This window comes from Homo sapiens, chromosome 7, assembly GCF_000001405.40.
Source record: "Homo sapiens chromosome 7, GRCh38.p14 Primary Assembly".
NCBI classification, from domain to species: Eukaryota; Metazoa; Chordata; class Mammalia; order Primates; family Hominidae; genus Homo; species Homo sapiens.
This window is the reverse complement of record NC_000007.14, coordinates 84,152,953-84,168,800: the sequence shown is the minus strand read 5'-3', so window position 1 is coordinate 84,168,800 and position 15,848 is coordinate 84,152,953. Positions and strand designations below refer to the sequence as shown.

Sequence of the window (15,848 nt, the reverse complement as noted above, 5' to 3'; positions counted from 1 at the left end):
AACCTCATATGTTCTGAACTGGTAGGTATTATGTGAGGTGTCAGTTAGTTCTCATCAGATTCTGAAATAATATGCCTTTCTAGTAATCATCTAATTTGCTTATAAAATGGCATAAATTGATTAAAATAAAGTATAATTTTCATAACTAGATAGGCATCATTTATTTCTCTCTAGGTTGAATAAAACATGCTATTTTAATTTGGAAAATACGTCGATTTCTACTGCCAGTTATATTTGTAGAAGTTATCTTCCTTTTAGTAATTCTGTGTATATTTGTAATATTACTGCTATTTTTATTTAATGAAACAACCAACATTACAGAAACCTAGCTGTTTTTCATGTAAAAAGACCTATATATATTTATCTTTTGGCAAATCCAAATATTAAAGTGTTAGAAGTTAAAACAATAGAAAATAAATTGTTATCTCAGCATGTGGGCTGCAAACAGAACAAAAGAGTTTATTAACGCATCATAAATTTAAAAAGTTTAAAGAGGGAGACTATACCCATTAATTTAGTTTGATTTTTGCAGAAATCATGAGAATATAGGAAATAACAACCCAAGAGGCACATTATTTTGTCTTGCTACCTCTTTGTTTATTTTTCATTGTCCTTTTTCAGAAGCAGTGTTTTGTAATTGAGTATCAGCCTGAAACATGGAATTCCAGAATATTATTTCACTTGCGTATAAATTATCTTTGACCTTAAAATATGGTGCCTTATTTCTTCATAGGTAATACCTCACTTACTGAGTGAGATATGGTTTTATAATCTACAGGAATGAAAACAGTAAATATGATTAAACAAAACAGAGGAACTCTAAACAGTAATTTCTTCTAATAACTTAATTGTTGGTTTTATCTATGATCCACTTCGATACTGCCATTCATTTTTAGCTTCAAAAGATGGACATGATCATGAATCCTTTACAAAATTGAGCTATTACATCAAATTAGTCTCAATATTATGGCTCTTGTTTCTTACATTTGTATTTTAGAAGGAATAGTATGCTAACTTTTATCCTATTCTCTTGGAGTGACATTAAGCTGAACTAGAAAAATGAAGAAATTGGGAATTCTCAAACTGTGTATCTGTCTAACATAGAAAAGCCTGTACCAGATAATTATCATTTCCCTTTGTCTTATTTTATTAACACCACTTACCAATTCTTCTGCACTCTACCCCACCTCATAGTTTCTGCTTTTTGTGACGTTTATTGTCATGAGTTCTTACAATCATCTCTCTATGTGTCTGGATGTTTGCCATACTCAACTCTCTGTGTCTCTAGTATTCAAAATCCCTAAGAGATTCAATTTAATCTTTTCAGATAGGATTCAATAACAAAATGTTTCTACTACTGAAAAGAGTTATGATACCAGGCCATGTCAGAGGTATATAGAATAGAGACTGTGGCTTAGCCAGAGATAGCTAATCCATTAAATTGTGGTTGCATGATATAAAACATGGCCAGGAACTACTGTTTCTATTATTCAGAGGATGGCTGTGGCTGTGATATATTGTAAGAATTTGTATGACTTCGAGCTTTATTCAACTGCCACCTAGACATATCAACCACATGCCCCAAAGGCAGCTTGAGAACCACATGTGACCTTTCTAGGGTTCAATCCTGAAATCCTGATTAGGTCCCTTCTATTTATTTTTTCCTCTGCAATGATTCCTCTTCATCTTCTGGATAAATGTATATTTTTGCCATACATCAGTCCTACATCTTGTAGGACTGCAAAAATCTGAACTGTTTTTGCAGTATTCGTTCATTCATTCAGCAAGTATTCAACACTCACTATATGATAGACACTCTTCTAGCAAAATAGGCACAAATTTATATAGAATACATTGTCCATTATTAATTCAACATTGCTGCTACCCACCTCAGCTTCTTTTTTTTTTTTTTTTTTTTTGAGACAGAGGACAGAGTTTCACTCTGTCGTCCAGGCAGGAGTGCAGTGGTGCAATCTCGGCTCACTGCAGCCTCTGCCCTCCAAGTTCAAGCGATTCTCCTGCCTCAGCCTCCTGAGTAGCTGGGATTACAGGTGCCTGCCACCGCGCCCAGCTAATTTTTTTTTGTATTTTTAGTAGAGACGGGGTTTCACCATCTTGGCGAGGCTGATCTTGAACTCCTGACCTCGTGATCCACCCACCTTGGCCTCCCAAAGGGCTGGGATTACAGGCGTGAGCCACTGCGCCCCCCCGGCAATTTTTTTTTTTTTTTTGACGGAGTTTTGCTCTTGTTGCCCAGGCTGGAGTGAGATGGCACAATCTCGGCTCACTGCAACCTCCGCCTCCTGGGTTCAAGCAATTCTCCTGCCTTAGGCTCCCGAGTAGCTGGGATTAGAGGCATGCACCACCACGCCTGGCTAATTTTGTATTTTTAGTAGAGATGGGGTTTCACCATGTTGGCCAGGATGGTCTCGATCTCTTGACCTCCTGATCTGCCTGCCTCAGCCTCCCAAAGTGCTGGGATTACAGGTGTGAGCCACTGCGCCCGGCCTCTTTTTTTTTTTTTCCACAGGGTCCCACTCTGTCACCCAGGCTGGAGTGCAGCAGTGCAATCATTGCTAACATTATAGCCTGGACTTCCTGGGCCCAAGTGATCCTCCTACCTCAACCTCCCCAGAATCTGAGACTACAGGAGTTCGCCACCATACCCAGCTAATATTTATTTTACTTTTTCAAGAGAGAGTGTCTCTGTATGTTGTCCAATCTGGTTTCAAACTCCTGTGCTCAAGTGATACTCCTGCCTTGACCTCCCAAAGTGCTGGGATTATAGGCATGAACCACCTCACCTGGCTCTATCTCATCTTTCTTATCTTACCACTTCACACCCTCCACATTTTATATTTTCACATATTAGATATACATACTCATGTTTAGTGTAAATACAAGCTGAATTGTAAGTTGACAAGGATCTTATTAAGAAGGTATTGGTAGGCCGGGAGGGGTGGCTCACTCCTGTAATTCCAGCACTTTGGGAGGCGGAGGTGGGCAGATCACTTGAGGTCAGGAGTTCCAGACCAGGTCCATCAGCATGGTGAAACCCTGTCTCTACTAAAAATACAAAAATTAGCCGGGTATGGTGGCCCACACCTGTAATCTCAGCTACTCGGGAGGCTGAGTCAGGAGACTCACTTGTACCTAGGAGGCAGAGGTTGCAGTGAGCTGAGATCGCGACACTGCACTGCAGCCTGGGTGACAGAGTGAGACTCCGCCTCAAAAAAAGAAGGTACTGGTATATATAACCAGCTATGCTACAAGTGAACTCATGTGCCCACCATATGTAATATTTTTTTTTTCACTAGAACAGAAAAAGATTTTCTCTTCCAACATATTAAGTACTCAATAAATCTTTGCTTTTTAACTCATTGGCATCAGGTGTTACCTAAATGCCCCATATAATTACATAGTTATAATGATTTTTAATTTAGCTATTTCTAAAAATATATATTGTTGTCCAAATTTCTTTCAAAATATTAGTCTACTTTTAAGAGAGGATGAGAGAAGAGCAGCATTTCTTGATGAGATGTTGATGAGTTCTTGTCACAGCAGAGATATTTTATTTATTTATTTATTTATTTTGAGACGAGGACTCACTCTGACACCCAGGCGGGAGTGCAATGGCGCTATCACGGTTCACTCAACCTCCAACTCCCAGGCTCAAGCTGTTCTGCCACTTCAGCCTCCCAAGTAGCTGAGACTACAGGCACGTGCCACTATGCCTGGCTAATTTTTGTATTTTTTGTAGTGACGGGGTTTCGCCATGTTGCTCAGGATTGTCTTGAACACCTGAGCTCAAGGGATCCACCCACTTCGGCCTCCCAAAGTGTTGGTTTTACAGTACTTTGAGATTTTCCTAAGGTAGCGCTAGAGCATATTCTAAAATACACATGTTAATAATTTTCCTTGGTGAGCTCTTTATATAATTATATTAAAATGCAGATTCTTTGTCACCTGGGACTAATACATTGGTAATAAGGAAAGTGTTAAGAGTTAAGAACTATTTTCTGATTCATTGTTTCAGGGCATATAGAGTGTGGTACAACAGACAAGAGTATTCTTAAGCCAAGCTGTCCATGTTCTGTTCTCAAGTGATTTACTACATGCAATTTATACATAACATACATTTTCTCACTGTAAACTGGAAATAATAATAATATCTACCTCCTAGGGTATTGCTAGGACTAAATGTGTTTATATGGGTCTGCGTGGCCTATATAAACATTCCATAAGTCAAAGCAGTTGTTGCTGTTATCAGAGTATTGTCATCACAAATATACAAGATTATCCAAATATACAGTCTTATCCAATGGGATAAGATTATCCCATTATCATCCAGGGAATGATAAAGAAACATGATAAAGAAATGTTTACTCAGCCACTGAGTAGTATTTAACTACAACTTTAATTTTTCATAATTATATAAAAAATTTTGGAGACTAAAAATATCAAATTTATTCCAAAATTTGTATTGGAAACATCTTTCTATTTTAGTAACAATTTAGGATAAGTCACGGCAATGCATTTAGTGATAAATTAGTAAAGTTACAGAAAATGGTTCCCAAGATTTATTCAAGTATTTTAAAAATAATTATTTACCTTTGGTTTTATGATGAAACATATTTGGTAAAAATAGTACTGTGTGGCTGGGTGTGGTGGCCCACGTCTGTAATCCCAGAACTTTCAGAGGCCAAGGTGGGCGGATCACCTGAGGTCGGGAGTTCGAGACCAGCCTGACCAACATGGAGAAACCCTGTCTCTACTAAAAATACAAAATTAGCTGGGCGTGGTGGCACATGCCTGTAATCCCAGCTACTTGGGAGGCTGAGGCAGGAGAATCACTTGAACCCAGGAGGCGGAGGTTGCGGTGAGCCGAGATTGATCCATTGCACTCTAGCCTGGGCAGCAAGAGCAAAACTCCTTCTTAAAAAAAAAAAAAAAAAAAATAGTACTGTGTGAAATCAATTGCCATTTTCTCATTTGAATGTGATTTATCTGAAAAGCCTAAATATTGGCCAATGGAAAAAAAATGACTTAATTGGAAGCGGATCGTGAATTTACATATAAGATTTCTCCCAAATATTGGTCAACCTGAATTCATAAAATGTAGGGATATAGAAAAAATATTTATTTATACCATTTATTTTATTGTTTAACATGTAAAAATACATATAAAACAATATATCGAGGGATACTGCTTTCTTCCAATGTCATATTTTATTATATCATTTTGTTCAAGGTATTTCTATGCGTCGTTGATATCAGAATGTGCACATTATTTAAGCTGAATTTTGAGTCATCAGAGTTTATCATTTTGACTTTGCCTTTTTTGAAAATTATAGGCAGATCTACAAATATTCATATAACATAAGGACAGTTGGTTTCTTTTTTTTGGCCTCTTACTATATATTTGCTGTTACCATCTACCTTCGCTCACTATGCTGCTTTTTAAAAGTGTGTTTTAAAAAGTACACATACCTGTGTACACCCATTCACACACACATATATATCGCTTAAAATGATACATTTATACCTTTAAGTATAATTTATTGGAACTATAATATTATACAAAGCATATGAATACTGGAAAGAGCTTGGATTTTAGAATCGACAATTTTAAATCAAATTTTAGCTCTAGCAATTTATTATGTGGATTTTGACAAATTATTTTACCACTAATAGCTTACTTTTGGTTACCTATAAAATAAAAGTTAGTGGTATTTATCTTGCAGAGTACCCAGAATTTGAGTTTCTTGACTTACCAGCAATTACACTGATTAATCACTTGTGTTTTCTTGACTTTGGTATGCAATTCCTAATGCAAGATCCTAACCTCCATGTAGTAGCTCTCTCCCTAGGTACTTATCGAAGTTTCTAGAGTCTATTTCATGAAACAAATCTAATGCAGCTAGCATGAACTATTGCACAGATAATACTGTTGCTTAATTGTGCCTCTCTACTCTCCTTGGGCCTAGTAGTACTGGGTGGACATAGCTACAGCTTTGCTAAATTTTACAGAGCTTCTCAGCAAGGTATTGCTTCTAAGAACCTGAGGTGCCCAAGCTCTCTGGTTGTTTATGGGTAAGTTAACAGTAATGACTCCTTCCCAGCCTGTTCAACATTGTACAATAAAGGGAGTTGAGCTGCTACTTGTGTTTTGAAAAGTGTTTTAAGCAAATCATATCTATTTTTTTTTAAAAAAAAATTGAGGATATGAGCCAAAAGACAAATTAATACCATTGCTGTACTTAGAATCAGAGTCATCCTTCAGTTTTTATTCCTGAGAGTTGTTATGAAGTTTCTCTCTCTTGTCTCTCCCTTCCCAGGCCCTAAAGCAAATGAGGGGTCCCCAGGTCCAATTCCTGAAATTTAGCCAAGCCTGGATCCCAGGTTTGACTCTAGCTGGTCATGCTGCTTTTCTCTTCTCTCCCCACCCTTCCTCACCCTTTGCACATTTACATTTGTAAAATCCTACTATTGTGTACACACAGGATCAACTCTGCTAGCCACTCACAGAGCATAATAACATCCAATTGTTTCTGTAGTGACTCTTTTTTTATTAGAGAAAAAATAGGCCTAATAAATGGCATTTTGGAACAAATTCCAAACATACAAGAGCTTCTTTTGCACACTGATATAAAAATAAATTATCAAAACATATGCTTATCCTATTCAACAGGCACTATATGAAGCTAAATATTCTTGTCCAGTAACATTAAACTCAAAATATAAACATTTTATTTTTAGTAAATCCAATAAGACCATATGTTAAATATTGTATACTTAAGAAGGATTGGGAATTAGGGTCAGGATTAAAATTATTGCAGAGCCAAGCAGTTTTCTGATATATTGTCAGTATTGTTTTTAATAATAAGCTCATATCAAGGTGCTAGAAAAATGAAACATTAATAGTATTAAATGAACTTAAATATTAGTTTTTCTAGAATATTTTAAAAATAGAATATACTCATATCATCTCTTCTTACAGTCAGCCTCTCACATTTTGAGCATATATTTGCTTTTGTTCCTTAGTAAATACCACATGCAAATATTTTTATATATGAGTGACCCCCTCCTGTGTCTGCTCTGTACCAGTTCCAAAATTAGACCATAAAGATCTAGCAGTTCTCTCCATAAATCAAGACATTCCTACAATGTCCAAAAGCAGGGAAAGACACACTGTACAATGAAATCATTTCACACATCACTTCTAGCCACCTATTTCATGAGCTTGCCAACTACTTTTATAGTTTGGTAGTGTGAAACTCTTCTAACACTGATTTTTCTAATGTAGAAGAGCCAGGACTCCTGATGTCCCGTGAGGGTGTCAGGGATGATTTGTACTATAGACAGTGCTTTGTAGTCTAAGGATTGTGTTTTTACATGTTAATTTCTAGATTAAATTTTAAAATTCTTTTTTTTTTGAGATGGAATTTTGCTCTTGTTGCCCAAGCTGGAGTGCAATGGCGTGATCCTGGCTAACTGCAACCTCCACCTCCCGGGTTCAAGTGATTCTCCTGCCTCAGCCTCCTGAGTAGCTGGGATTACAGGAGCCCGCCACAACACCTGGCTAATTTTTGCATTATTAGTAGAGACAGGGTTTCACCGTGTTAGCCAGGATGGTCTCCATCTCCTGACCTCGTGATCAGCCCACCTCGGCCTCCCAAAGTGCTGGGATTACAGGCATGAGACACCACGCCCGGCCTAAATTTTAAAATTCTTAAATAAAAAGTATTATCCTCTTCTACTCATGCAACAACAACCTTTCATCCTAATTCTGGTGACCATGCCTGTTGAGGCTCACAGAAAGTGCAGTTGTGATAAGGGTCCTGTCTTCCTATCAATAAAGTAGAAATAATACTACCTATCCTATGGAATTATTTTATTTTATTTATTTATTTATTTTTTGAGATGGAGTTTCACTCTTGTTGCCCAGGCTGGAGTGCAATGGCGGGATCTCGGCTCACTGCAACCTCCTCCTCCCGGGTTCAAGCAATTCTCCTGCCTCAGCCTCCCAAGTACCTGGGATTACAGGCACATGCCACCACCCCCAAGTAATTTTTTTGTATTATTAGTAGAGACAGGGTTTCACCATGTTGGCCAGGCTGATCTCAGACTCCTACCTCAAGTGATCCACCTGCTTCGGCCTCCCAAAGTGCTGGGATTACAGGCATGAGCCACCGCACCTGACCCCCTATGGAATTTTTTTGTTTGTTTGTTTTTATTTATTTCTTTATCTTGAGATGGAGTCTCACTCTGTCACCCAGGCTGGAGTGCAGTGGTGCGATCTCGGCTCACTGCAACCTCCGCTTCTTGGGTCAAGTGGTTCTCCTGCCCCAGCCTCCTGAGTAGCTGGGACTACAGGCATGTGCTACTGCATCCAGCTAATTTTTGTATTTTTTTTAGAGACGGGGTTTCACCATGTTGGTCAGGCTGACTATGGAGTTATTTTAAGGTTAATATATATAAAGGGTATGATAGAACACTTGTCATAGTTTAGAACGAACTAACGATAGATAGATAGATAGATAGATAGATAGATAGATAGATAGATAGATAGATAGACAGATTGATAGTTTTTTTTAATCTCACTAAATAGTCTATAGTAAACATTTAATTACCAATATTTGGTGCAATTCTGTCAATGAGGATAAATGTGGAATCGTTATAATTCTTAAGAATATATATTCCCTCTGAGTTTTTGATACCTCAGATTTTAAGACCTCACAATTATCTCATAAGGCTTAAAATCAATCATATTTTGAGGATCAACTTATGGTATTTTTGCCTGTTTTTATTCCTTCTGGTGTGAAAACTGATGCCTTCCATCGTGTAACTCTTGTTCACACTGGTTTCAGTATTTTGTTTTGTTTTGTTTTCTGGCTTTTTAACAGCAAAATGCACAAATTATGAAACTCATATTAAGCTCATTAGAACACAATTGTTCACATCCAGTTAGCATATAAGTCATTTTCTAAAACTAATGGCAAAATTGGATCTTTCCAGTCCTCAAATTATAAGAAGCATTAATCCTGAGACTGCATCAAGAGCTAAGGGTCTAACTATTTTTTTTTATGGTTTATTCTGTGATTGAATTATAGTATCATTAAGTAGCATGCTTCACCAACTGCAAATTGCCTTAATGTTGGAAAGCTTTTCTCTACTGGTATGAAGAGGTGGTGTTCTAATTTTATTTCCCCCACAATTACTATGTTAGCTCTCTTGGAAGTAAGTCAAGGGTAGAATGACAGAGCTTTATGTAGGAGTTTTGCATCTAACTTGTTTAGCTATTTGACAGGATTTATGTGTAATATTTCCTGGAGAGAAATACATTTGTAAAGATCAGTGCTTCCAAAAACATCACTCTACTTCTTTTAAATTACTTAAAAATAAAAAGGTACGGAAAAAGATTTTTTTTTAAATTGCTGTTCTTGCAAGATGTAACAGTTAGAATGAAATGCCTCTGTAGATGTAGAAACAATCTTTTAGTATCACCATAATTGTATTAAGCACTAAAATGTGAATAATAATTTTATGAATATTTTACCTTTAAGACCTTGGTAAACAATTTAAAGTGGCTGTTCACTATGTACTATGTACAGTGGCAGATAGTTCTGAGTTTCTACAAAGAGGGGAAGGTGGACAGAATATGCAGTCCCTTTCTTTAAAAAAAAATGAAAAACGTTAAACCTTCTGAGTTAATGATAATGTGAAGTCATGAATTTATCAGGGCCAGCAAGTAACATGAAGGTTTTTTTTTTTATTTTTAATTGCCTACTACTTTCGTAGATGCCAGCTTTAAAACATGGTCTGTAAAATTTAATTTAGGGCTGAGCTGTGACCTATTATATAAATTCAGGAAATGCTTGTCATCTACAGAAACTAATATGCATTATTTTTTAAAGAAAATCTACAAATTTTCTTTGCTATTATCTTGTGGATATTTTAATGATAAAAATTCTAGAAAGAAATTAAAATTCAAGGCATCACAACAATTTGCAAGTGTCAATGTAAGAATTATTAGCAATAAAATTTTCTCAATAATTTTTAATCCAAATTTCATTTAATTAATTTCTTCTGAGCACTGACAGTGTGCCAGGCACTGTGTTAGGTACAGGCTGTGCAAGGAAGCACAAACATACATGGCACTACCCAAATGACACTTATCATCTAGTTGGGAAGAGGGGCAGTGCACAAAATTATGGGAAAAGTACGTATATAGAGTTTCATCCTATGATAAATGCTCTGAAGCAAATAAGCCCTCATAAGAAAATCTAACAGGGAGGTTTATTTTTTGTTGTCACATCAAGTAAGGCATCAATAAAGAAGTAACTGTTGGCCAGGTGTGGTGGCTCACGCCTATAATCCCAGCACTTTGGGAGGCCGAGGCAGGTGGATCACGAGGTCAGGAGTTCAAGACCAGCCTGGCCAATATGGTGAAACCCGTCACTATTAACAATACAAAAATTAGCCCGGTGTGGTGGTGTGCGCCTGTAGTCACAGATACTCAGGAGGCTGAGGTGGGAGAATCACTTGAACCTGGGAGGCGGAGGTTGCAGTGAGCCGAGATCACGCCACTGCACTCCAGCCTGGGCAACAGAGTGAGACTCCATCTCAAAAAAAAAAAAAAAAAAAAAAAAGAATTAGCTGTTAAATTAAGCATAAGCTTCAATGTAGCAAAGGGAAGAAAAGGTATAGAGGATTGGAAGATTCCAGACCCAAGTTATAGCATCAGCTAAAGACCTACGACAGAAAAGAAACTTATCTCTAAGTGTAAGGAAAGATGGAGGAATTAATTAGATACTGGCTCTATTATGGCAGGGACTTGAGGAACATTTAAATGTTGTGATTTCTATCCCACATGTAAAGGGAAACATGGTACGAAGTTTGCGCAAGGGAATTGTATGATATGACCTATGTATACGCCTGATAGTTCTGAGTGGAATACATTGAGTGCTGTAGTCAAATCACGAGGCCCATTTAGAATTCTGTTGCATGAGTCCAAGGAGAAAAGAAGAGTGTCTTCAACTAGGGCAGTAGTGGTGGCAAGTGAAAGATGTGTGTAAGATTGAGATGTATTCTAAGGATGGAGTTAACAATGACTTTCCAAATTTGGATAATTACAACGACTGGTTTTCTATCAATTCCCTCATAGTTAAAATGTTGAAGATACCTTAGTCAGAATATTAAAATCGCTTGAACTAGCCGTATGCTCCAGCACTATTTTCATATGCAAACAAAGTAGATAAGAACACAACACCCACCTTTTAATGTTTTCCCAGCAGATCTGCTCTCCAGCGTCCCCTTAACATTAAGAGATTTTAAACAGTGTTGTGGTCATCAACGATAACAACAAAACCGTGCGTGTGAATTCTCAAATTAGTACTCAAAAGACTGTGAACTCAAGGCTTTTGAGATGCCTACAGATGTTATTCATCTCTCAACAATGAAGTATGGTATTTCAAAGGATGTAGTCATTTTACAGCATGGAAAAATGGTTTAAAGCTAGTAGTTATACCTGCATTGTTGCATGTAAACACACACATTGTATTGTTATGAGAAGTTTGGAAAAGCAGAAGTACCAGTGTGAAGGAAAATTAGCAGACTTTAATACACAAAGGCATGTTAATAATCAGTATTTCTTTTACTGCCATTTAAAAGAGTGCATTTTTACTCGTGCATATATTCCAGATAATGTGAAAATTGCATAGAGCATTTAATCACTTGATCAAAATATACCAAGGTTGAAAATTACATTGCTGATTGCCAATTTTTCAGGAATTTAAAGACAAAACAAATTCTATACATGTATTTTAAATCAGTGCTGGCATGAATAATAGACATTTCAAGCATGGCCATGATATTGCAGGTGAAATGGTTAGTCACAAGTAAGAATTTGATAATAATACATTGTAAAACCAGCTCTGGGATTGATAATGTTATACAGAGTTCCTTTAACAAAAGAAATTGAAATGTTCCTGAAAGGATTAACATTTTATGGGTCAGGCTAGAGGACTTTGACTTTCGTTCAAATAAATATATAGAGAAAAAAATCGTATGGCTAAAACACACAGCTGGTAAAAAAACATAGTCTTCCCACATACATTTCATGTCTTTTTGACATGTGTATCTTCACTGTATACAGACTCGCATGCATACAAACTTTCCCACAGAAACATGCCACATACGTAGAATCGGAATGTATATTTTACAAATAATTTCTTCATACAGAATCCAGTCAGTGAATATTAAAGGAAGTGAGAAAACAATAATTTCTGGGGCCTACTCAATTATGAAACAATAATCTAAATCATTTTTTCTAATAGATTATATTGGAAATGCTAGCAAGTTGAGAATGCTATCATAGCTCTAACAATAACATTTACAAAATGTCACACTTTCAGAGGTTCATGATTAACTGTCATGGATAATATTTGAAAGATTACTTTTGTCATATAAGGTACACCAGTGGAGACTTCAAATTTGACTGAGTCTAAATAAACAAGTTGTTGTCATAGCCATAAGCAAAAAATGCTATACTTTAGTCAGATACACACCCTAAGAAGTAAGAAAGTATAAACACCATAATTTCTTTCTTTTTTTCTGATGTGTCACGTAAACACCAGTAACCTTTGATTTTAAAGGATGATATGAAAAAGGCAAAAACAAAATATGACTTGTTATAATTTACAAAATCCTAATTATAAAAAGCTGTATAGAAACTTTAAAAAATTGGAATCATTTTAACTCAGAAAAAGGGCTTTAAAGATATTCAGACATTACATCATACTTTATAAAGTTTGCTTGAAAAATATTTAGAGACAGGTATTTTATATGTGGTCAAACAGAGTCAGAGAAAGACACAGTATCTTGCCATTAGGTCTGTCATAAATCTATCATAGGGTTAAATAAAATATTCTGAGCAAAAACTGAGCTTTCTGAATCTTCTTTTACCCTACAGTTAAACTAAATATGTTTGAATCTGAAAATTATATTACTTTGATATAAATACAAGGAAAAAATTATTAACATAACTTTAAAAAAATCTCAGCAGCTCTTACCAGCAAATGGAATACATACTTTAAATTCTGTTTTACTGGAAAAGTTAGAGTAAGAAAACATTTTGACTTTAATCTTCCTTATCCTCTCCTACATGATTAGATTAAGATAATGAGTGTAAAGCAGAAACAAGTAATGCAAGCCAAGAACACTGCATTTGGTAACCACTTAAGGCAATGTTTGGCAAAAGTTGACACAATTTATAATCCAACGAACAGAAATTCCTAAAGTGGAAAAGATGGCCTATCTGAGGTCAAATGATTTTGCCAAGTTGTTTGGGAAGAAGGAAGCATACCTGCCCAAAGCACACTGACATCTCAAAATGTGGAAGCGGTGGACTAGTAAAGTATAGAGTTTGATGAAAGCTAAAATAGACGACAACTCTCCCAGAGAGTTGGAGTAATTTTTAAAAATATGAAAATTCAATGTGAGATGTGCACATTTGAGCCTAATTAAAAGAGACACTATTTTATGTGGTCCTGGATATGCTGATTCAATCATAGGCAGAATCCTGCGTCATGAAAATCTTCACGGGGAAGAGTGCTGATAGATAGGTCTTGAGTTGGAAGTATAAGGTCACTGGTTCATATCCTGAGGAGAAAACCTCGACTTAGTCCATGAAAAACAGCTGCTTTTGTAAAATGCAATATCTTGCACACAAATGGAATTAAATTAGCTACTGTCATTTTAAGGATTCCACAGCTCTCAAAGAGAGGTGGACATTTGGACCCAAGCACTTTAGACATGCTGCTTCAGCATGAAAATATAATTGGCCTCGAAATAAACCAATAACAGAAAGGCTTGACCAAAAATATATTGATATAAATATATTTTCTAAAAATATTGTCTCTTAAAACTTATAGCAAGTATAAAGTGACATGTTCTATTTTTTTTCAATTCTAGGCATATGACTGAAATTCTAGGAAACCATCCAGATTTCTTATTTAGACAATATGAATTAATAAATTCATCTGAAACAGATCTAAAATATTTATTGCACTAATGTCATCATCTGTCTTTTTTTTGTTTTTTTTTTTTGTTTTTTTTTTTCCCTGAGACTAAGTCTTGCTCTGTCGCCCAGGCTGGAGTGCAGTGGCGCGATCTTGGCTCACTGCAACCTCCACCTCCCAGGTTCAAGCGATTCTTCTGCCTCACCCTCCTGAGTAGCTGGGATTACAGGCGCCCACCACCATGCCCGGCTAATTTTTGTATTTTTAGTAGAGACGGGGTTTCAACATGTTAGTCAGGCTGGTCTCGAACTCCTGACCTTGTGATCCACTTGCCTGGGCCTTCCAAATTGCTGGGATTACAGGCGTGAGCCATCGTACCCGGCGTCATCACCTGTCTTTATGTTCTATTTACCTTAAAGAAAGAAACTTATCTGTATTGACTTTTCAAAATAATTAGCCTAAGAAATGTCTATTATTTTTAACCAATTTCCACCAAACTATTTTCCCCCAAATATTTTGGCATCCCAGCTTTACTCATAAGTTGTATTGTATTTTTAATAATCAAGGTTTATTATTAATATTACAGTATCTTTCTAAATATTCCTTGAAAATTAAGTTGCACTATATATTAAAAAATGGTTCTATCTCATACAAAGTTGAGAGACATTTGGTTTAATAAGATTTCTATAAGAAAATGTCTTGACAGCTAGACCTCCCAAAATATTTAATATATTTATTTGAAATTAATATAACGAAATATGTAGTGTTCTCCTGAATTCATTTTCTCATGGAACCCTTTATTCCATTGAACATCAAAAGGAACTAGTGTTTTATGGAACGTCTCCATAAAGGATTCATTCATTAATATGTAAGTTTGCTTTCTTCAAGCAAAGAAACGGGTGAATTGTTCTTAATATGCAAATAGTGTTATGTAAATAGGAAATATTTTTAACTTTTATTTGAACTATTCAAGATTTTATATCAACACGCTTTTCTTGTTTAATATTATGCTTAACTGTAGAGAAGTGTAATAGAAGCAAGAGTGGAAATAAAAGTCTTTATAATTAAAAGTAAATTTTATTAAAGTAACATTTTTGACCTCAAATGGTATATCTATATTAAAGGGGAAATTCATGGCAGAGTTGTTTAAATAACAAAAATACATTTAAGGAAAGATTCACCATAAAATAGTGTAAGGCTAAATTTAAGAAACTACTTAAACATAGAGATTAAAACATGCATCTTTTCATATTTTACGCTGTTTCCTTTGGGGGAAAAAATTCACCTTTTATTCTCATTTACTTGCCATCACATGATCATAAGGTAAGATTTCTAAGGTCAGTAATAACTCTGCTGCAGTGTATATTAAATCAGTGTGCATCCTTTCCTCTGAATGTTATAAGTGAACTACTGATAGTTCAAATGCTCCCTCTTTCTTTGATGTCTACAAAGATGATAACCAACTGTATGTATGTGGATGACAGGCCTCTCCTGATAGACCCTCTTTTAATTTCAAGTCTGTTGATAATTGGTACTTTTGCAACAAGAGCATTTTCAACTACCTGAATCAAGACTTTCATAGCAATATCACTTACTGGTTCTTGACAGCTAATGAAGTGGCAAAGCAGGGCTGATAAACTCCAGAGCTTATCAAAAGGAGAGTGTAGCATTTTTTAGATTCTGATTTACTAAATGAGGTGAAAGTCATTAAGATCATCAAACAAACTCAGCTATGAACTTTTAAACTAATTTCTTGATTTTTTAAAAAGTAGAAGTATTTTTAAGTGGAAGTCATTTTTCCACCTTGAGTACTTAGAAATGATAAAA

General features: G+C 35.8%; 1 protein-coding gene across 3 annotated transcripts in view, besides 1 other annotated feature; it reads left to right on the top strand.

Annotated features, from left to right (window-relative positions):
- The window catches only part of SEMA3A (semaphorin 3A), a 536,949-nt gene that overhangs the window by 323,925 nt on the left and 197,176 nt on the right, over positions 1-15,848 (top strand). The gene's annotated exons all lie outside the window — the stretch shown is intronic.
- Positions 2,195-2,695: an enhancer, noted in NCBI's record as "H3K4me1 hESC enhancer chr7:83795422-83795922 (GRCh37/hg19 assembly coordinates)". NCBI's record gives its function as "activates a minimal SCP1, AML or CMV promoter by ChIP-STARR-seq in naive H9 embryonic stem cells {active_cell/tissue: H9 hESC(naive)}" and the evidence as "EXISTENCE:reporter gene assay evidence [ECO:0000049][PMID:30033119]".